Raw genomic sequence first — 23956 nt, 5'->3', positions numbered from 1 at the left:
TTAGGTATGTTGGCGTGCTTACTTTAAATCAGGCTTGCATGCTTGCTTGAAATCACATGTTGTTTTCATAACATCAGAATTTTTACAAATAACAAAATGAATAGTTTTCATTAACCAGTACTTACTGTTGAATAGTTTCCATTATCGGGTGCCTACACAAGTTATCAAATAGTACTTTTTAGGTAATTATAAGTTTTTTAAAATAACCAAAAAACACTCTTTTACACTGATGTCGAACATAAAACAAATTATTTTTCTAATAGGATATTTGGCAATATGTTTTAAAAGACTTAATGTCCACATTCTTTAATAAGCAGCTTCACTTCTAGAAATGTGTTATAAGGAAATAACTAGAGAGGAAGTCAAAGGTGCATAAATGTCCATGGCAGCATTATCATTATTAAAAATAGTACAAAACCATCTAGCAGGAGAATGGTAAAATAAATGATGCTACATTCTTATTGTTAGTTGGCATATAGGCTGAACTGCTGAAACCAAAAGACCCATCTAAACAAAGTTGATTTCAATCATATTATATTCTAGGAGGTTTGCTGGCTGTACAGCACAAGATTATCTAAGGCCTGGGTTTCCTCTCCTTTTTCAGTAGTGACTAGGGTATTATACTTTCTAGCTTCTGCCAGCTCACTATCACTAGGACCTTGTGCCAGCTCCCAGCTCATGGGAATGGAAAAATGGAAAAAAAGGAAAAAGTGGGCAAGCAGCTTGCTTTTAAGGAAATGGCCTAGAAGTCTTATACCTCATTTCTTTTTTTGTTTGTTTAGGTTTTTTTTTTTTTTTTTTTTTAAGATGGGTCCCACTGTGTTGGCCAGGGTGATCTCAAACTCCTGAGCTCAAGAGATCCTCCTGGTTCAGCCTACCAAGTAGCTGGGATTACAGGCATGTGCCACTGCACCCAGAATTGTACCGTATTTCTGCCCACATTCCAATGGTAAAAATTTAGTCACATGGTCACACTCAGATCAGTTAAGATGTTAAGGGCTACCCCCTACATCGTGGGAGTGAATGAAATATGAAAATTGCCATGCATAACCTTGGAAACATGTTAGGTCTAGTACCAGTTACAAAAGGTGATATACTGTATGATTCCATTAATATGAAATGTCCATAATAAGCAAATCCATACACAGAGTAGATTAGTAGTTGCCAGAGGCTGGGGGGAGAAGAGGTTTGGGAGTGACTGCTAATGGCTGTGGGGTTTCTTTTGGGGCTGATGAAAATGTTCTAAAATTAGGTAGTGATGATGGCTACACAACTCTGTGAATATACTGAAAATCACTGAGTTATATGCTTTAAAAGGATGAATTGATGACATGTGAATGATCCCAATACAACTATTATAAAAGAAAAAAATGCCCCAATGCATAAAAGGACAGCAAGGAAGTTTCCTCCCTCAGCCATGGCTTGGATAGAGCAGGACACTCTACCCCAATAATTTAAAATCAGAAGTCAGCCCTTATGTGGCCTGACTTTATGTTTCCCGTGCCCATAAAACTTCTAGTAAAGATTTACTCGAAAGTAGCTCTGGCTCTGCAGCACCTCCAGGTGTCTAGCAACAGCCAATGTAAATCTTCTCTGGAAATAACAATGTCTATCCAAGCCCAAATCATTCCATAGATAAAAGTCCAAAGAAAATGAGTAACTCATGACATAAAATATACCAGGGAACTAGGCACCATGAGTAGGAATCAGTGAAACACCCAGTCATCAGCTGGACCTGCAAAGATTAGAGGTATTGGATTTATTAGACAAATATAAAATCACTGTGTTTAAGATATTTAAAAAATAAAAGAGAATTTTGGAAATATGAGCAGACAATAAGCAGATTTATAACTATAATTATAAAAATTCTAGAAAAGAAATATATGATAAATTAAGTTTAAAACTGTGTAGATTTATCAGCAGATTTGACTCAGTAGAATTAGTGAACTGAAAGACGGATATGAAAATGTTTCCTGAATGAAACTCAAAGAAACATTAAAAAAAAGATGTGACACACACAGAGAGAGAGAGAGGTGGGGGGAGATCAAGATATAAGAGACGTTAGGATAATAAGTTTAGCGTACTCCAAATGATAGTTCTAGAAAGATAGAATGGGGAAGAGGCAATATTTAAATGTATGATAACTGAGAATATTCCCGAATTTTTGAACCCATGGCTTTAAGAAGCACAAAGCATCCCAGCAGTAAGACAATATCCACACCAAACAGATTAGAATGAGACTGCTGAACAGCAAAGAGAAGGAGAAAATCTTAAAAAACAGCTAAGGAGGGTGGAAAAAGAAATCATCTTCAAGGCAAGAGCAATTAGACTGACAGCTCATTTCTTCAGAAGAGAATTTAATTTTATCCTTCATGCGTGGAGAGAAAATACACAGTTAAAAACCTTAGACAAATTAAATTTAACAGAGTTTAATTGTGCAAAGAATGATTCGCAAATTGAGCAAAGAATGATTCGCAAATCAGGCAGCCCCCAGAACCAGAATATGTTCACAGCCACTCCAGGCTGCCACATGGTTGGATAACATTTGTGGACAGAAAAAGGAAAGTGATGTACAGAAAATGGAAGTGAAGTACAAAAACAGCTGGATTGGTTACAGCTCTGCCTTTGCCTTCTTTGAACCTGCCTTTGCCTTCTTTGAACAGTTGTCTGTGGTTGTCTGAAGTTTGGCTACTGCGATTGGCTGAGACTTGGCTACTTGTTACAAGAGTAGGTTACAGTCTATTTTATACATCAAATTGCGTTATAGTTAATTATGTATGGGGAAACCTTTAGGCAGAATTTAAAATATGTAAAGAGGCAGCTCTAGGCCAAATGTAATTTAACAATACCAATTTATAATTCTATGCCCAGTGAAAATATCTTTCAAGTAACTAAAGAGTGTCTGTCAGAAATTCTTGGAATCTCAAAATGCAACAGAAAATGTATATTATTCAAATATCAAGAATAAGGGGGTTTTATAGGGGAAAAACACAAAAGCAACAAAGGGAGAGCTGCAAGTTTGGTGGACACTGTTCAGGCAACTCTTGCAATTTTGCAGAAGGGAGGTTTTGTTTTGGTTTTTTTTTTTTTTTTTTTTTTTTTTGCAATTTGGCCCATTCCAGGCCATACATCACCTTCTAGGAATTGCTAGCTCAAAAGAGTAATTTAGAGGGAGTGTGTTACTTTCTCAGTATCAGAGAACAAGAAAGTAGGTATTAGGTTCAGAGCAGAAAATTTTACAGTTCTCCACATCCCTCTTCTTGGCCAAGGTGGACAAAAATCCAACACTGACCAACCATAATGAGCTCACTGAGATAAAAGTCATTAGAATGGGAGGGTGAACTTCAGAGTTAAAGTTCCCATTTGCTTCTGTTCAAGATAATGTTCTGGGATCATTTATTTTGAAATTATGTCACTGCTTAGATTAATGACCCTAGAAATTATGCATTTCATGGGAGGGATTCCTATGAAGAGGAAAAGCAGGTGCATGAATAATCTGGAGAATTGTTCAGAGCCAAGACTCGGTTTCTGTTTGGAATGCCTAAAATCAGAGGTCCCAGCTCCATCTACCTAACGCAATATATATCCTAGTAAGGGCCAGGTTGTCCATGCAGAAGAGATTCTGGTTGGCTTCACGTTAGAAATGTTCTCAGGGATGCACATGCAGAAGTCATTTCCAAGTACTATACAAGTACCCCCACTCAGGAGGCTAAGATGGGAATAATGTTGTTGTGGTTATTTACATCCTTTGCAATTCCATATGAATTTTAGAGTGAGCTTATATTGCTAAGATTTTTATTGGACTTACATTGACTCTATAGATCAATTTGGGATGAATTGATGTCTTTACCAATAAACCCATAAACAAGGTACATCTCTGCATTTATTTAGTCTTTAATATTTTTCAGCAATGGTTTGTAGTTTTTAATGTACAATTTTGCACGTCTTTTGTCAGATTTCTTCCTAAACATTTCCTTTTCTAGTGCTATTATAAATAGAATTTTCTTTAATTCAATGTCCAATGATTGTAGTATATATAAATAGTATGTAGGTTTTAATGTGCCAATCTTGTAAAATGCAACCTTGCTAAATTCACTGATTCTTTTTGTTGATTCCATTAGATTTTCTACATATATGATGGTAGTGTTTGCAAACTGTAAGACTTTTAATAGACAATATAGTTTTATATCTTTATGACCCAAGGAATGTGAAAGATTTTGTTAACCAGTCATAGAAAACACAGGGCATAAAGGAAAATGTAGATATATGCCTACTTAAAGTTCATAACTTTGGTTCACAAAAAGATACCATAGAGAAAGTAGAAAGAGAAGCCCCACATTGATAGAAATTTGCAATACAGTTGACCCTAGAACAATATCGGTTTGAACTGCGTGGTCCACTTTTATGTGGGGTTTTTTTTTTTCATTAAATACAGCCAGCCCTCCATATCAGTGGGTTCTAAATCTACAACCAAACAGGAATAAAAAAATACAGTACTTGCAGGATGCAAAACCCACATATACTTTGGTATCTATATCTGACTTTTGGTATCTGTAGGGCCAACTGCAGGACTTGAGTATGTGTGGGTTTTGGTATCCACAGGGATCCTGGAACTAGTTCCCTGATGGATACTGAAGGTGACTGTATACACACCTGGCAGAGGCTTAGTATCTAGAATTGTGCTGCCCAAAATGGTAGTCACAAGTCACATGTTTTGAGGACTTGCAGTGTCTCTTATCCCAAATACATGCCAGATTTCAAAGACATAGTATGAAAACAAAAGAATGTTGCCTGTTCACTCTGATGGTAGTTTCTTTTGCTGTGCAGAAGCTCTTTAGTTTAATTAGATCCCATTTGTCAATTTTGGCTTTTGTTGCCATTGCTTTTGGTGTTTTGGACATGAAGTCCTTGCCCACGCCTGTGTCCTGAATGGTAATGCCTAGGTTTTCTTCTAGGGTTTTTATGGTTTTAGGTCTAACGTTTAAATCTTTAATCCATCTTGAATTGATTTTTGTATAAGGTATAAGGAAGGGATCCAGTTTCAGCTTTCTACATATGGCTAGCCAGTTTTCCCAGCACCATTTATTAAATAGGGAATCCTTTCCCCATTGCTTGTTTTTCTCAGGTTTGTCAAAGATCAGATAGTTGTAGATATGCAGTGTTATTTCTGAGGGCTCTGTTCTGTTCCATTGATCTATATCTCTGTTTTGGTACCAGTACCATGCTGTTTTGGTTACTGTAGCCTTGTAGTATAGTTTGAAGTCAGGTAGTGTGATGCCTCCAGCTTTGTTCTTTTGGCTTAGGATTGACTTGGCGATGCGGGCTCTTTTTTGGTTCCATATGAACTTTAAAGTAGTTTTTTCCAATTCTGTGAAGAAAGTCATTGGTAGCTTGATGGGGATGGCATTGAATCTGTAAATTACCTTGGGCAGTATGGCCATTTTCACGATATTGATTCTTCCTACCCATGAGCATGGAATGTTCTTCCATTTGTTTGTGTCCTCTTTTATTTCCTTGAGCAGTGGTTTGTAGTTCTCCTTGAAGAGGTGCTTCACATCCCTTGTAAGTTGGATTCCTAGGTATTTTATTCTCTTTGAAGCAATTGTGAATGGGAGTTCACTCATGATTTGGCTCTCTGTTTGTCTGTTGTTGGTGTATAAGAATGCTTGTGATTTTTGTACATTGATTTTGTATCCTGAGACTTTGCTGAAGTTGCTTATCAGCTTAAGGAGATTTTGGGCTGAGACGATGGGGTTTTCTAGATAAACAATCATGTCGTCTGCAAACAGGGACAATTTGACTTCCTCTTTTCCTAATTGAATACCCTTTATTTCCTTCTCCTGCCTGATTGCCCTGGCCAGAACTTCCAACACTATGTTGAATAGGAGTGGTGAGAGAAGGCATCCCTGTCTTGTTCCAGTTTTCAAAGGGAATGCTTCCAGTTTTTGCCCATTCAGTATGATATTGGCTGTGGGTTTGTCATAGATAGCTCTTATTATTTTGAAATATGTCCCATCAATACCTAATTTATTGAGAGTTTTTAGCATGAAGGGTTGTTGAATTTTGATGGGAGAAAATTTTTGCAACCTACTCATCTGACAAAGGGCTAATATCCAGAATCTACAATGAACTCAAACAAATTTACAAGAAAAAAACAAACAACCCCATCAAAAAGTGGGCAAAGGACATGAACAGACACTTCTCAAAAGAAGACATTTATGCAGCCAAAAAACACATGAAGAAATGCTCATCATCACTGGCCATCAGAGAAATGCAAATCAAAACCACTATGAGATATCATCTCACACCCGTTAGAATGGCAATCATTAAAAAGTCAGGAAACAACAGGTGCTGGAGAGGATGTGGAGAAATAGGAACACTTTTACACTGTTGGTGGGACTGTAAACTAGTTCAACCATTGTGGAAGTCAGTGTGGCGATTCCTCAGGGATCTAGAACTAGAAATACCATTTGACCCAGCCATCCCATTACTGGGTATATACCCAAATGACTATAAATCATGCTGCTATAAAGACACATGCACACGTATGTTTATTGCGGCATTATTCACAATAGCAAAGACTTGGAACCAACCCAAATGTCCAACAATCATAGACTGGATTAAGAAAATGTGGCACATATACACCATGGAATACTATGCAGCCATAAAAAAGGATGAGTTCATGTCCTTTGTAGGGACATGGATGAAATTGGAAACCATCATTCTCAGCAAACTATCACAAGAACAAAAAACCAAACACCGCATATTCTCACTCATAGGTGGGAATTGAACAATGAGATCACATGGACACAGGAAGGGAATATCACACTCTGGGGACTGTGGTGGGGTGGGGGGAGGGGGGAGGGATAGCATTGGGAGATATACCTAATGCTAGATGACGCGTTAGTGGGTGCAGCGCACCAGCACAGCACATGTATACATATGTAACTAACCTGCACAATGTGCACATGTACCCTAAAACTTAAAGTATAATAAAAAAAGAAGAAGAAGAAAAAAAAAACACTGTACACTTAGGCTATACTAATAAAAAATTCTTTCTTCAATGATAAATTAACCTTAGTCTGTCAAAAAAAAAAAAGAACACAAAAGAATGCACAGAATCTTAATAATTTCTATATTGAATATATATTGAAATTAAAATATTTAGGATATATTGGGTTAAATAAAATATATTACTAAAATTAACTTCACCTGTTTCCTTTTACTTTTTGAATGTGGCTACTAGAAAATTTAAAATTATATTTGTGGCTCATGTTGTATATTAAAGATATCCTGATTTATAATATATCTGGACGTTCCTATGAACCAATCAGAAATAGGCAAACTGTCCAATTGGAAAATGGGAAAGAATAGACACTCTATAAAAGCAGATACCCAAATGGCCAATAAATATGTGAAATGGGGGCTCAAGCTCTTAATTAATCAATAAAATGCAATTTAGAACGATATTGGCATACCATTTTTATCAACTAGGTTAATGGATACTTAAAAAAGAAATGTTGGCTAGGTTGTAGTATAGAGTTCTCTGTCTTCTACTGCTAGTGAGAATCTTAATGGTTTCAACTTCTTACGACACAGTTTGTATTATCTATAAAATTGACTGTGTGCACATACTCTATAATCCAGCAATTCTATTTATTCTGTTTTCCCATATTTATTAGAGAAACCCTTGCACACATGTACCTGGAGATATGTTAAAAATATGTGCATAGCAGCATTATTTGTAATTTTAAAAACTGGAAATGAGTAGGGGGATGTATACATCAGGGATAAACTGATGTATTTTCATAAAGTGTATATCATGATGCACTCAAAATAAACTGTAGCTAAAGGCATCTACCTGAATGAATTTCAAAAGCATAATATTAAGAAATTAAACAAGTAATAAAATAAATCATATAATAATCCATTAAGTTCAAAAACAGGCACAACCAAGTGATATGTATTTTTAGGAGTACATGCGTAGAAAATATCCTATACAGAAAAACAAGGATATAAATAACACAGAACTCATGATGGTAATTATCTCTGGGGCCAAGGGAGGGATCCTATCAGAAAGTGGTTCACAGAGAGCTTCTAAAATCTGATAATGATATAGTTAATAAGCTGATTGGTGAGTAAATCAGTGATTATCTTATTATCATTCTTTAAAGTGTACATAGATAACTTCTTTGTATGTATAACAGACTTTAATAAGTTAAAACAAACTACAAAACAACTATGGCATCAATCCGATTTTGTTTGCGCACACACACACAGTAGATTTTTAAATACGTATTAGAAAAGAACTCTAAGGAGGCATACCAAAATATTTATTTTATGGTGATAAGATGGCTACATGTAGATGAGTAGTTGAAGTTTGAGTCTGGAAATTTAGATTGCAGGGCAACTTCGATTGTTGAGCTACTTTCTAATACAAATCAGCATTCTGTTAATTGTGCCTATCAAAATATCAGCATCATTATATTACTACAGACCTGAACATGCAAGCTTGGATATTTTAGGAAAATTTTAGATGATTCCTAAAGTTTTCACACCTGCAGAAAGCCATGATTGGTCCATTTGATGTACTGTAGTCCTCCCTTATCCATGGTTTCTCGTTCCACAGTTTCAGTTTCCTGCAGTCAAACATAGTCCAAAAATATTAAACGGGCAATTTCAGAAATAAACAATTATAAGTTTTAAATTGTGTACCATTGAGTAGTGTGATGAAATCATCTTCTCAGTCCCACCTGGGATGTGAATCATCCCTTTGTCCAGTATATCCATGCTGTCTCAGCTAGCTGCACCTTAATCATTTAGTAGTCTTCTCAGTTATCAGATTTCCTGTTGCACTATTGCACTGTGTTCAAGTAACCCTTATTTGTTACTTAATAATGGCCCCAAAGCACAAGAGTAGTGATACTGGCATACTGTTATAATTGTTTTTTATTTTATTATTAGTTATTATTGTTAATCTCTTACTGTGCCTAACTTATAAACATATTCATAGGTTTATAAATGTAGGAAAATGACACAGCATCTATAGGGTTTGGTACTAGGTATGAGGATCTTGGAATGTATCCCTCACATATAAAGGTGAACAACAGTACATAAGTTTCCTAGAGGTAAAATAATTTTTGTTTATATACCCCACAACAAGTATGAGTAATAGAATATTGTTTGTATTATTATGTAATTGTCCTAGAATTCATAAATTACTACATTCTCATTCCTTGGCCAAATTTCTATGATAGAATTGGCAGTACCATATATTACATTAGTACCAAGTACATTTTGTAGGTGACAATACTGCTCTTTTCATCAATACCACTCTTTACATGATGGATTCATGGCTAGCAAACAGAAGTGAATTATCAGTAAACTTGATGCATTTGGCCTTTCTGATTTTTAGATAACGAGAAAATTAAAAGTAGGTCTCCCAGCTGTTTCCATTCACCTAACATCATGTCATTTATTTATTAACAGACACCTTATCTTGTCTCTTGCCCTTGCTATTTATTCATTTGCATGCTAAAATTTATCCTAATGTTACAAAAGATAATGCTTACATTACTGAATAGAAATGAGTAAGTTTATTCATGATTGCATGAAGAGAAAACTTGTTTCAATAGGGACTGAAGAGGAAGCCAAAAAAGTATATCAAAATGTGATTAAAAGATTAAGAAAAGTAGTATGCCTGGGATAAATAAATAAAGTGAACTGAAGGAAAAAAATAATCTCCTAGAAATCCCGATAAAGGATTTCTCTCTGCTTTAGAGAACACATCATATCCACAGGGAATATTGTAATGTGTAAAACTTTATAGAAGAAAAAGTATTCCTTTCTGTCCTTGGGGCTGGCAGAATGCATGCATTTTTAATAATAACAACAGTAATTACTGTTATTTTAATACTAATTTCATTTCATGCTAAGCATTTTTAAATGAAAATACCATGTCTCAGGTAGGTTAAGTAACTTGATGGAGGCCACTGGTGGAAGGTAGTAAGTGGTGAAGCCAGAATTCAAACCTGGGTCTGTTACACTGCAAGGCTTGTGTGTTAACCTTTGTATAAAACTAGCCATATACCGAAATCCATCTAAATTTTTCTGCAACTTTTAACCAGATTGAGTCACTCCTGATACATAGATCAGAGGTTTACCGTAACATCTAGGTAGACTGCCTTGTTTTACTACATTACAGAACTTCAATGCTATTTATTATTTTTTTAAAAAAAAGAAAAAACACAGAAAATATGCCCATGTCTCTGATTAGATTCATGTAAAAAGTCCTCTGGCTATTATGACTGCTATGCCAAGAACAAAGGTAAGTGGACAAAGAACTAGCTCAAAATAAGTCATTTACTAAAATCTCAATTCCATCAGTTCTGTCTCACAGAGGAAACAGTCATTGCACCTGTTACAGGAGAGAGGGGATTTAAATATAGACCACTTAACCCCTTGAGTAAAGATAGTACAGAGAATGATTCACCCACCAAGGCTGAGCCCAGATTTAATACTGTCTGTCTAAGTTCCCCCAATTCCTAAAAGTTTCTGACTCTGATTTTCTGTGGTGTGGTCAGGGCAGCCAGATGGCTTTGACCATCCTGAGCCCCAAGTCTGAATATCATGCTCTCCTTGTGCTTTATATGCAAGGGCCTGCTTAGAATGCACTCCAGATACCTTGAAACCCTCTTCCCTTATAAGTTAGAACACATGACCAGCCCCAGAGAGCTTTCTGGGTGTATTAGTCCATTTTCATGCTGCTGATAAAGACATACTGAAAACTGGGAAGAAAAAGAGATTTAACTGGACTCACAGTTCCACATGGCTGGGGAGGCCTCAGAATCATGGTGGGAGATGAAAGACACTTCTTACATGGCAGCAGCAAGAGAAAAATGAGGAGGAAGCAAAGAGGAAACCCCTGATAAAACCATCAGATCTCATGAGACTTATTCGCTATCACGAGGATAGCATGGGAAAGACCAGCCCCCATGATTCAATTACCTCCCCCTGGGTACCTCCCACAATACATGGGAATTCTGGGAGATATACCTCAAGTTGAGATTTGGGTGGGGACAAAGCCAAAGCACATCATTCCGCCCCTGGCCCCTCCAAATCTCATGTCCTCACATTTCAAAACTAATCATGCCTTCCCAACAGTCCTGCAAATTCTTAACTCATTTCAGCATTAACTCAAAAGTCCACAGTCCAAAGTCTCATCTGAGACGAGGCAAGTCCCTTCCACCTATGAGCCTGTAAAATCTAAAGCAAGCTAGTTACTTCCTAAATACAATGAGGATACAGGTATTGGGTAAATTCAGCTATTCCAAATGGGAGAAATTGGCCAAAACAAAGTGGTTATAGGCCCCATGCAAGTCCAAAATCCAGCAGGGCAGTCTAATTTTAAAGCTCCAAAATGATCTCCTTTGATTCCAGGTCTCACATCCAGGTCATGCTGATGCAAGAGGTGGGTTCCCATGGTCTTGGGCAGCTCCGCCCCTGTGTCTTTGCATGGTAGAGCCTCCCTCCTGGCTGCTTTCACGGGCTGGCGTTGAGTGTCTGTGGCTTTTCCAGGCTCATAGTGCAAGCTGTCGGTGGATCTACCATTCTGGGGTCTGGAGGATGGTGGCCCTCTTCTCACAGCTCCACCAGGCAGTGCCCCAGTAGGGACTCTCTGTGGGGGCTCTGACCCCACATTTCCCTTCAGCAGTGCCCTAGCAGAGGTTCTCCATGAGGGCCTCGCCCCTGCAGCAAACTTTTGCCTGGGCATCCAGGCATTTCCATACATCTGAAATCTAGGTGGAAGTTCCCAAACCTCAATTCTTGACTTCTGTGCACCCACAGGCTCAACGCCACATGGAAGCTGCCAAGGCTTAGGGCTTCCACTCTCTGAAGCCACAGCCAGAGCTGTATGTTGGCCCCTTTCAGCTGTGGCTGGAGCAGCTGGGACACAGGGCACCAAGTCTCTAGGCTGCACACAGCATGGGGACCCCAGGCCTGGCCCAGAAAACCACTTATTCCTCCTGGGCCTCCGGTCCTGTGATGGGAGGGGCTGCTGTGAAGGTCTCTGAAGTGGCCTGGAGACATTTTCCCCATGGTCTTGGGGATTCACATTAGGCCCCTTGCTACTTATGCAAATTTCTGCAGCCGGCTTGAATTTCTCCCCAGAAAATGGGTTTTTCTATTCTACTACATCATAAGGCTGCAAATTTTCTAACTTTTATGTTCTGTTTCCCTTTTAAAACAGAGTGCTTTTAACAGCACCCAAGTCACTTTTTGAATGCTTTGCTGCTTAGAAATTTCTTCCACCAGATACCCTAAATCATCTCTCTCAAGTTGAAAGTTCCACAAATCTCTAGGGCAGGGGCAAAATGCTGCCAGTCTCTTGCTAAAACATAACAAGAGTCTGTAAAAATGTTCTCCCATTCTATAGGTTGCCTGTTCACTCTGATGGTAGTTTCTTTTGCTGTGCAGAAGCTCTTTAGTTTAATTAGATCCCGTTTGTCAGTTTTGGCTTTTGTTGCCATTGCTTTTGGTGTTTTAGTCATGAAGTCCTTGCCCATGCCTATGTCCTCAATGGTATTGCCTAGATTTTCTTCTAGGGTTTTTATGGTTTTAGGTCTAACATTTAAGTATTTAATCCATTTTGAATTAATGTTTGTATAAGGTGTAAGGAAGGGATCCAGTTTCAGCTTTCTACATATGGCTAGCGAGTTTTCCCAGCACCATTTGTTAAGTAGGGAATCCTTTCCCCATTTCTTGCTTTCGTCAGGTTTGTCAAAGATCAGATGGTTGTAGATGTGTGGCATTATTTCTGCGGGCTCTGTTCTGTTCCATTGTTCTATATCTCTGTTTTGGTACCAGTACCATGCTGTTTTGGTTACTGTAGCCTTCTAGTGTAGTTTGAAGTCAGGTAGCGTGATGCCTCCAGCTTTGTTCTTTTGGCTTAGGATTGACTTGGCAATGCGGGCTCTTTTTTGGTTCCATATGAACTTTAAAGTAGTTTTTTCCAATTCTGTGAAGAAAGTCATTGGTAGCTTGATGGGGATGGCATTGAATCTATAAATTACCTTGGGCAGTATAGCCATTTTCACGATATTGATTCTTCCTATCCATGAGCATGGAATGTTCTCCATTTGTTTGTGTCCTCTTTTATTTCGTTGAGCAGTGGTTTGTAGTTCTCCTTGAAGAGGTCCTTCACATCCCTTGTAAGCTGGATTCCTAGGTATTTTATTCTCTTTGAAGCAATTGTGAATGGGAGTTCACTCATGATTTGGCTCTCTGTTTGTCTGTTATTTGTGTACAGGAATGCTTGTGATTTTTGCACATTGATTTTGTATCCTGAGACTTTTCTGAAGTTGCTTATCAGCTTAAGGAGATTTTAGGCTGCGACGATGGGGTTTTCTAAATATACAGTCATGTCATCTGCAAACAGGGACCATTTGACTTCCTACCCATCTAATATCCAGAATCTACAAAGAACTCAAACAAATTTACAAGAAAACAAACAACCCCCAAAAAGTGGGCAAAGGATATGAACAGACACTTCTCAAAAGAAGACATTTATGCAGCCAACAGACAATGAAAAAATGCTCATCATTACTGGCCATGAGAGAAATGCAAATCAAAGCCACAATGAGATACCATCTCTCACCAGTTAGAATGGCGATCATTAAAAAGTCAGGAAACAACAGGTGCTGGAGAGGATGTGGGGTAATAGGAACACTTTTACACTGTTGGTGGGACTGTAAACTAGTTCAACCATTGTGGAAGACAGTGTGGTGATTCCTCAGGGATCCAGAACTAGAAATACCATTTGACACAGCCATCCCATTGCTGGGTATATACCCAAAGAATTATAAATCATGCTGCTATAAAGACACATGCACACGTATGTTTATTGCGGCACTATTCACAATAGCAAAGACTTGGAACCAACCCAAATGTCCATCAGTGATAGAGTGAATTAAGAAAATGTGGCACATATACACCATGGAATACTATGCAGCTATAAAAAAGGATGAGTTCATGTCCTTCGTAGGGACATGGATGAAGCTGGAAACCATCATTCTCAGCAAACTATCACAAGGACATAAAACCAAACACCGCATGTTCTCACTCATAGGTGGGACTTGAACGATGAGAACAGTTGGACACAGGATGGGGAACATCACACACCAGGGCCTGTCGTGGGGTGGGGGGAGCGGGGAGGGATAGCATTAAGAGACATAAGTAATGTAAATGACGAGTTAATGGGTGCAGCACACCAACATGGCACATGTATACATACATAACAAACCTGCACATTGTGCACATGTACCCTAGAACTTAAAGTATAAAAAATAATAATAATAAAAATAACAAGAGTCACCTTTGCTCCGTTTTTCAACAAGTTCCTCATCTCCCTCTGAGACCACCTCAGCCTGGACCTTATTGTTCATATCACTATCTGTATTTTTGTCAAAGCCATTCAACATGTCTTTAGGATGTTCCAAATTTTCCCACATTTTCCTGTCTTCTTTTGATCCCTCCAAACTGTTCCAACCTTTGTCTGTTACCCAGTTCCAATGTCAAGTTCACATTTTCGGGTATCTTTTCAGCAATGCCCCACTCTACTTGTACCAATTTACTGTATTAGTCCATTTTCATGCTGCTGATAAAGACATACCCAAAACTGGGAAGAAAAAGAGGTTTAATTGGACTTACAGTTCCACATGGCTGGGGAGGCCTCAGAATCATGGTGAGAGGCAAAGGGCACATCTTACGTGGTGGCGGCAAGAGAAAAATGAGGAGGAAGCAAAAGGAGAAACCCCTGACAAACCCATCAGATTTCGTGACACTTACTCACTATTACAAGAATAGCATAGAAAAGACCGGCCGCCCCCATGATTCAATTAGCTCCCCCTGGGTACCTTCCACAACACGTAGGAATTCTGAGAGATACAATTCAAATTGAGATTTGAGTGGGGACACAGCCAAACCATGTTACTGGGGAAACTTCTACACAAGGTAAACACAAAGGTTTCTTAACAGCAGACTGCCTCTTACTTTGTAATAAAAGCATAGCAAGACTTCCTTAAGTTAAAATATGCTTTCCCCTAAGATTTTTGTCTTTATGTCCTAAGATTTGGTCTTACTTCTAGGCATAGTTCCATACTATGATTACCTCGACCCCACCAAGTACAAGCCCATCTAGAATCCAAGATAGAGCCTAGATGTTGGGTAATTTTCAGTTCCTGTATTCACAAGACAACCATAACTCAAGATTATCCATTGCTTCATTGTTCAGAATATTCTTCATTACCAGGTGGTAGAGCTGATCTCCTAGACACCTCTGCAAGTACAGGCAAATGTCCTAAATCCCTTCCTCCAGGGTATGTGAGGGCCGTATATGAGCCCACCCACTAACTTTTGTCCATTGCTACCAGATCCTTTCCACCCATTCTAAAGAGAAGCACGACAAATGTCTACTAATATCTCTTTTATGTTGTATGCTTGTCTATGTGTTTGTGTGTGTTGGAAAATAACTATGCTGTTAAAATATAACTTCCAAAGTTGCTCTGGACTATAATATGGAAATTCATAGCAAGAATAAGGGATAAATTGAATGACTTATTCATTCTCTCCTTACATAAAATCGCTTTGAAAATAAGGAAACTTCAAAACTGTGAGACAATATTTTGTTACATTTGTGAAATGGTGAAAATGATTCCTTCATTAAACAAATATGTATTGAGCCCCAACTGTGTGCATGTCACTGTACTAGCCCCTGGGGCATAGTGGTGACAATGGCAGGTGACGTGGAGGAGGTGCTGTGGAAGGCTGGAGGGGGCAGGCCAGACTGTGCGGGGCTCCCTCAGTGGGAAGCTGGGCTCTTTTTAGGAGACTGGGTGTGACAGTAGGTGTGACATGATTTTCTTTGTGCCAGTGCCAGGAACAGATTAGAAGGGAGGATAGAGTGAATTTTAATAGACCTGTTAAGCTATTCACTCACCGAACTGGTAGAAAACTCATCTTTGATTTGGAAGGATTGAGATAGATTTTCTCAGTTTTACAGTTTTGTTTCATTGCTGATAATCAGTAAGGTGCTTCAGAACTTTCTATACAAATCAGGAAGTGAGTAAAAAAAAGGCAATTGCAGTTAAAATGCTTAATCTGTGAAGCTATTATGTTTTCACTTTAGCAGTAACTTGAGATGAAATATTGTGAAACTGCCTTACAGTTTATAGTTTTACGATAATGACTTTCCATCTCCTCATTATTTACAAAGCTCTTATATGTCAGTAACTAATGGCACAAGTTCTATTTTAAATAATTGCTGAGACACTCCACATGTATTTTCATACTCTAAGCAGCTTCTAGGGGAAGTTTTTTTAAAAAATTTCTTTTAGTTCCTTACTGTCATGACTGTATCAGAGAAAATCATTATGTAGCTCCATGTTTTCGTGTATGTATTATTAAAAGACTGCCTAACACTGCCATCTTATTGCATTAGAATGACTGTTCTCCTTGTAATACATTTGTAGTGTTGACATCACTACTCTCAAATGAGTTACTTAGTCATTGAGATTGATATGTGATATTTTAACTTCTAGCTCATCCAGGCATCCTTTCTGTTCTAATTATTGTTTTGAGCTTTTGGGGCCAAATGGATACTGAGTCAAAAGAGAATATACAGGACACAGAGGCGCAGACCTGCCAAGATGCTGCTTATTTTAATTCCTAATGCTCTTTGAGAAGCATTTTATTCTACTCATTTTTGGATGATATTTCAGTGGCTTACTTCACTGCTGTTATTAAAAAGAATGCTAACTTAGGGGAGATTTCAAGCAGTTTTCATTTCATCTCTTTTTCCATTCAAATTCCATAAAAAGTAAGACACCTCAAGAGAGGTTTCCATATATATATCTGAACTGGTAAGATGATTATGTTGAAGGAGAAAGAGACAGAGAATACTGGATTTGAAACACTGCTGTCACTGTGTAATCTTGGGGAAGTCACTATATTTAAAAAAGACTTATATGCAAAATGGGAATAATGATGCTATTGCTTTGAATTGTCATCAGATTTAAATGAAGTAATATATACGAATGGTGTTTTGTATACGGTAAGTCTCTATACAAACGTTAGTCAATTTCATCAAATGAGGAATTTACATCTACTCAAGGACATTCCTGTTGGGAACACAACTATCATAAAGAAGCCACAGAACTCACACTTGATGGAAAGCAGCTATAAAATGGATTGAAAAGAATCCAATAAAGAAAGTATGCCATTGTTTGCATCACGATAGCCCACAGTGATAAATCAGCTTGCATTCATTCTCAGGCACCTGCAGATAAACACGAGCCAGAGATACTGTGCAGGCACTCTTGCAGTGGAAAGAAAATAAAATCAGAATACTGGTGTAGTTTGAAATTTTTAAAGCTTAGGATGATACAGATAGATTTTTCAATGCTTATGGTAAAGAAATGTGTCTCTCCTTTTACCATCACAGACAGTCACGTTTTAAATTAAATAGACATAGATTTCTTAGAGGTCAAGAAATTTCAACAGCAAATATATGTCTTCTCTGAGGCTTACAATGTAGTGAAGAAATTGTTGTCAGATGACAAAAGATCAGCCTAATGGGAAGCAAAAAAAGTGTTTTAATTTTTTTAATTAACATTTACATTTATTGAGCTATTGACTATGTGTAAAATGTTGTGCCAAGTGCTGGCCTATGACGCCTGGGGAAGGAAAAGGGAAGATAATAGGTATGGTGTTCTCACTGAAGTTTACTATCTAGTGAGGGTCATAAAAGTCCCCCAAAAAACCCAGGGAAATAGAAGAATTCAGGCAATAGAGTGAAGGCTTAAGTGTAGAAAAACATCAGTTCTCTCAATTGGAACTTGGGGAGGATGCTGCAATCAGATGGCAGTGTTAAGCAGTCCTTCCCGTTTCAGAAGGACATTTGAGAATGCTGCATCCAACATACTCATTTTATGGATAACTCAAATGAGGTCCAGTGAGGTTGAATGGCTTGCCAAAGTCTCAGAGCAAAACTGTAAGAAAAACCAGTCTTCAGTTGCACCCCGCCCATAGGCCACCCAGCTCAGGGGCTAGTAGCCACTGAGATCCAACTTATGCCAGCCCTTGGGGCCAGCTGTAGGGATGACTCTTCCTGGGGGAAAGTGTCTCATATTCTAGTTGTCACAAAGGCATGTATTACCTACGTCCTGGTTCTGACTCCCTAGTTAGTTCTTTTCCCTGCAATTAGTGGTTTTTCAGATATTTCCCTTCCTCATTATTAAACTCTTAACCTAAAAAGTAACCCCCAAACTGATAGAAACAGAGTTTTCCTGGAAGCCCTGCCAACTTAAACTCCTCCTATACCCCTATAGATGTTGCTAAATGGTTTTGTGTTGCAGACTTGCTGTTTTTCAGTCATTGGTATTTAAGTTGATAGCCACTTGTTTTGGTATCTCAAAGGATGTCCAACACCTGGGGCAATGTATGTATACTCATGTGTCAAATAAATGAGTGAAGAAATGAATGACGAAAAGACAATGAGTTCAATAGAGTCTATTTTACTGGTTGCCACTGATTTAATAATTTAATGTAATAATACGTTAATAATAACTATTTAATGATAAAACCATTTTTAAACCAAAATAACACAAAATAAATAAAATTAATAATATAACTTATCAAGAGATAAAGTTATTTCTTTGGAACCGGGTTATGAGTGGCCCTCACATGAGTCTGTTCCAAAGAAATAACTAACTTCGTCCCTGTGATATATGCCTTTGTGACAACTAGAATATGAGACACTTTCCCCCAGGAAGAGTCATCCCTACAGCTGGCCCCCAAGAGCTGGCAATAAGTTGGATCTCAGTGGCTACTAGCCCCTCAGCTAGGTGGCACATGGGCAGGGTGCTACTGAAAACTGGTTTTGCTTACAGTTTTGCTCTGAGACTTTGACAAACATTCAGCCTCACTGGACTTGATTTGTGCCCTCTATAAAATGAGTACGTTGGATGCAGTGTTCTCAAATGTCCTTCTGAAATGGGAAAGGGTCTCTTGTCCCCCTCGCAGGGTGTGTGATGGGGGTGTGGCTCACTTCTTCACCGCCCTGCTGCTCAAACCTCTAGGGGAGCATACAGATGGGCAGGCTGTGGGACTCCAACCCCATGGCAGTGTCTAGGGGTGAATGTTTACAGCTGAAGCCCCAGTGGGCGTGTGTTACAGGGTGCTCTTTTAGTTTAGCCATCCATAGGTAGCTCGTGTTAGTCAGCTCAATTAGACCCCTGCCTTACTGCAGGGACAGAGGGCTTTCTGTATCCTAGGGATCTTGCCTCTGTGTACCAGAAGAATCAGATCACACGTGGACTTGGAGAATGAGTGCAAGGTTTTATTGAGCAGGTTTTATTTACTCAGTGGACTGGGCTCTCATCCGACTGCCCCAGCCAAACTCCATGTCATTCTGCCACTCAGTGGCCTGCTGGCATGCCGATGCCTGTTGGTGCGTTCCTCTCGACGGCCAGCCACCTGTGTGTGCCTCCATTGATGTGCTTCTCTCGACATCCAGCCACCTGTGTGTCTCCCTGCTAGGGTCTCGGGGTTTTTATAGGCACAGGATGGGGGCGTGGCAGGCCAGGGTGGTCTTGGGAAGTGCAACATTTGTGCAGGAAAACAAAAATGCCTGTCCTCACCTATGTCCATGGGCCCGGGCCCTGGGTGGAGCCCTAGTCAGGGACCACGCCCTCCTCTACCTAGCACTTCCCTTCCATATCATTTAAAGGGACCATGCTTTTCCCTTCCCAGCACTTCCCTTCTGTATCACTTCTCTGCTGTAGATTTCTATAATTTTAATTTGATGACCTTCATCTAAATAAACTCATTTTATTTATCATAACTCTGGAGTCAAAACATACAAATGAACTTATCCTGAGTTTGTTGCTATTATTTCAATTGACTATTTCCCTGCCTTTACTCAGTTTAGTCCGGTCTCTTCTTTTCACCCAAAGTCCCTCATATGATTGGCTCATTATGGCAAGAAATAAAAGGAAGCGGGAAGAAAGGAAAGTGAACCATAAGTACAATATGAAAAACTAAGTTTGTTTTTTCTTGAGTGACAAGGACGCAGATTCCGAATATGATTCCAAAAGGAATTCCAGAAAATATGAGCAGTATAGTACAGCATAGTTGGAATAAGTATTAATATATTACCTCCCATAGCAACTATATGGGGAAAAGCCATCTTAATTTTTTATGCCATGTCTATAAAAAATTGAAAAAGAAAAAACCCATAGGAATGGAGTTGTGTTGCCAACATAGAAAAACCTGTGGGGTTTTATTAATTCAAAATCAGGATCAGTACTGTCTTAGAACCTAGCCATCACTTTGTTATAACTTTTCATGTTAAGCAGAAAAGAGACATGCTTGATTTCCTCAGTTAATGAAAGTTTTACAATATAGGTGCATAGGAAAGTTAAAAAAAAGAAAGAAAAATGTCTCAACTCCACCCATCCCTACCTCATGGAAATCTAGAATACTGCTCAGCAGACTGGCAGCAGTCTGTGTTTGGTTTCTCTTCTATACTCTTCTCCATCACTGTCAACTCCGTGACCCTTCTTTACCTCATGGCTTCTATTGCAGTATGGCCTCTGCCTACAGGCTTCTCTGTCATTCAACTTCTGTGTCACTCTATCCTCTTTCAATATTTCATATTCTGACTTCTCAGAGAATATAAACCATATGCCACATCATTCTCTGGTATACAGCACCCACCCCTTGCCAAGCCGCTTCCTAGGGCACTGGGCAGGCTGTTGGTGGCCTTTATGCCACACATAGTTATGGCCAGGCAGGCAGGTTTTGCAGGGGAGCACTACCACTTGTGCTTGGTGGCGAGGGGGACCACTCAGCTGTCGGCAGAGGTGGGCCCCACAGCTCCTAAGCGGGGAAGCAGTGTGTAGTATAAATATGGAAACCAGCATTTTGAGGCCTTTGGTCAATATGAAGGAACCGCACAATGGAGAAGATGCATAATTCCCTTCCTTTCAGTGCCAGTTGAAGCAGGAGAAGGGCTAATAACTGTAATGCCTGACTGTATTATGGGAAAAATTGTAGGGGGGAACAGCAATATGGAAGAAGAAGCCCCAGATTAGCTGTCTATGAGTCACTAAACTTTCTCCCATCTTCTCAAATTAATACTGTCACAACTACAGTTTCAGTATTCCTGATCCAAAAATCTAAAATCCAAAATGCTCCAAAATTCCAAGCTTTTTGAGTGCTGACATGATGCTCAAAGGAAACGCTCATTGGAGCATTTTGGATTTCAGATTAGGGGTGCTCAACCAGTAAGCATAATGAAAATATTCCAAAATCTGAAATCTGAAACACTTCTGGTCTCAAGTATTTTGAATAAGGGATACACAACCTGTATAAGTTCAACCATGAAAACAATCATTAAGTAATAAATTACCTTCTCCTCCCCTAATTTTTTATATTTCCAGTCACTCTTATCCATATAACTTATTCTCTGGCAGTATTTGTAGTTTGATATCTTACCCACTCCAACTTTGTGACATCTTGTTTGTTTCCAGGTAGACTTTATGAAGTAGGCCATGGCCAGGCTTGCTTTGGATGTGATAATGGAATAAGAGAAAGAACTTCAAAGTATTTTCTTATGAATTAATAGAGTCTAAACATTTTCTTAGACCACTCAAATGCTAACGTGGACCCTCCCCAAGGCAGAGTTCAGGGCTCCTCTGAGCCCGTAGCCTGTTAACTTCACAATGACCAGAGAACTTCAGGAATACAGGAGGAACTGGAGAGGCAGAAGTAGGCCACATCCACATCCTCATGTCCTGGATTTTGCATACACCTATTGCCTTGCTTGTTGGCCAGTTTGGTGCCAAAATGAAAGTAACTTACGTTACCTAAGACTTCATTTTCACCAGTCTTCTATCCAGACCAACCTTTGTGGCCCAATTTACTTTAAAATGATTATTTTAATGGCTGCTTTTTTATTCAGTTGTACCTTAATTGCATTAACTACCCTTCCATTGTGGGAGACTTTTATGGTTTCTAATTCTCTATCTATGTTAATCTTGTGATAAATGAAAGCACAGAGAAAAGTACATCTTGAAGCATATAATTTCCCATTTAAGTGGTTTCCTAAGGATACACTTTAGATATCAGACTGAGACAGAGGGGATGAATATTCTAATGTTCAAATTGCCAAATTTCTTTCCAAAAGGAAATTATATCAATTTAAATTGTTACCAGAATTAGAGACTGTACCACTATTGCTATAGTCTCATCACCTTTAAATGTTATCATTGTTTTAATTTGCATCTGTCCATACTCCATCCATCTATTTTGCATACTTGGGGTATATAAGGTAGTCAATATACCGATAAGGAGTTTAGATGCAATGATTTATAGATAAATAATATTTTATTCAGGAAAAAAGTGGCTTTTTGCTCCAAATTTCTAAGGCTTTTGAAATTTACCCATATCTATGATTTAATTGTCTCAATAAAGACTTTTTTATTAGAAAATAATAGTAATTAACAAAAGAATAGGTTTTTCATCTTGTCTGTAAATGACAATCTTCTGCAGGAAAATTACAAAACCAAAAAAAAAAAAAAAAGGCTGGACAATGGGAAATCATTCAAGGGCAGGATTTTCAACATGGTCTCCACACTGCAAGCTAGGAAACCATACTTTTCTAAAATTATTCAAAATCACAGAGATGTTATTAGAGTTTAAATGCTATGTGGCCACCCTTGACATAAGTTTATTTCATTTTAGATTATTAAATAGGAAATATGCCTACTGAACAATAATTAAAAGTATCTGAGAAGTAATGGGCCAAGTTTGTAACAGTAACTTTTCATGGTTGCTTTGAAGGGATGCCCGGAAGTTAGAATTTCTTATAACTTGGGTTGCTTAGAGTAAATTTACACCATCCTAAATCTCTGGTTGGGAATTAGGATTTTGCTTCTTTAGTTCTCCTCAGATAAGAGTGAAGGTGTCCTATCCTGGAGAGATACTCTGTGCTTTCCTAGGTACGTTTTCACCACTACCCTCAAATTGTAATGGTGTAATTATATCATAAATTTCTATCAATAAAGAACTATTAGGGTTAACTTTCTATCAACAAAGAACTATTAGGGTTAACTTTTAGAGGGATATCTATGTTTTGAGGTGATAGCTTAGGGACCTTGTCCAGAAAAATCACAGTCCTGCGTCAGGAACTGGAAATAAAATCGTGCTTCACTGACACTCCTCAGTAATGAATTAGCAAGCTTGTGCAGTAAGCCCAGTAGAACGATGGTAGATGTGTCACACGAACTGTAGTAAGCTCTCCCCTTTTCTAAAATTCTGGATCTTTTATAAACTCTTTGGGAAGGGAACTAAGTTTCATACATTTATCAGTGATTAGGACTCAATATATGAAGTTGGAAGTTTTGGTTTTTATACACAGGTCATATTTCTTTTCCTCTACTCCCATATATAAGCCTGGAGCAGTCAAATTATTTCATCATGGAGAATAAAGGGGCAATATAGACAGCATGTGCTGTGTAGGAAGCAAGGAATATACTACTTATGGCTAACTAGCAAGAACAGTTGTATATTTGCACTGCTTAAGTTCCTTTGGTTATTTCTTAGGTTTGAAACTCTAAAGATAAATGATGGAGAGGTAACATTTTAAAAGGCAGAAATAGATCTACGTATGAACTAGGTTTGGTGGGTGTTGAGTGGGCAGGGGAGCATTGTTCCACCTTCAAAGGGAGCTGTTAATTTCTACATGTTATTACTAAAGGGAGTTCTGTGTATTCCATGATTGGAACAGGGAACCGATTATTTATTTGGTCTGTATATCAGGTTTTAGCCTAGTCATTCTGCTGGTAAGGATTAGTTCTCTCACTCAGCCAAAATGAGACATATTTCACCTGATTGC

The 23956-nt window shown here is 38.5% G+C and overlaps 2 protein-coding genes across 7 annotated transcripts in view; one reads left to right on the top strand and one right to left on the bottom strand.

Moving 5' to 3' along the window:
- Positions 1-23956, bottom strand: part of REDIC1 (regulator of DNA class I crossover intermediates 1) — a 282118-nt gene that overhangs the window by 111074 nt on the left and 147088 nt on the right. Inside the window, exon 17 of the transcript NR_135051.2 lies at positions 8559-8639. The gene's annotated coding sequence lies outside the window, so the exon portion shown is untranslated. The remainder of the gene's footprint in view (positions 1-8558; positions 8640-23956) is intronic.
- SLC2A13 (solute carrier family 2 member 13) overlaps positions 1-23956 on the top strand; it is a 351057-nt gene that overhangs the window by 308855 nt on the left and 18246 nt on the right. The gene's annotated exons all lie outside the window — the stretch shown is intronic.

This window comes from Homo sapiens, chromosome 12 (assembly GCF_000001405.40).
Source record: "Homo sapiens chromosome 12, GRCh38.p14 Primary Assembly".
Taxonomy (NCBI): Eukaryota; Metazoa; Chordata; class Mammalia; order Primates; family Hominidae; genus Homo; species Homo sapiens.
This window is presented reverse-complemented; position numbering and strand designations above follow the sequence as displayed.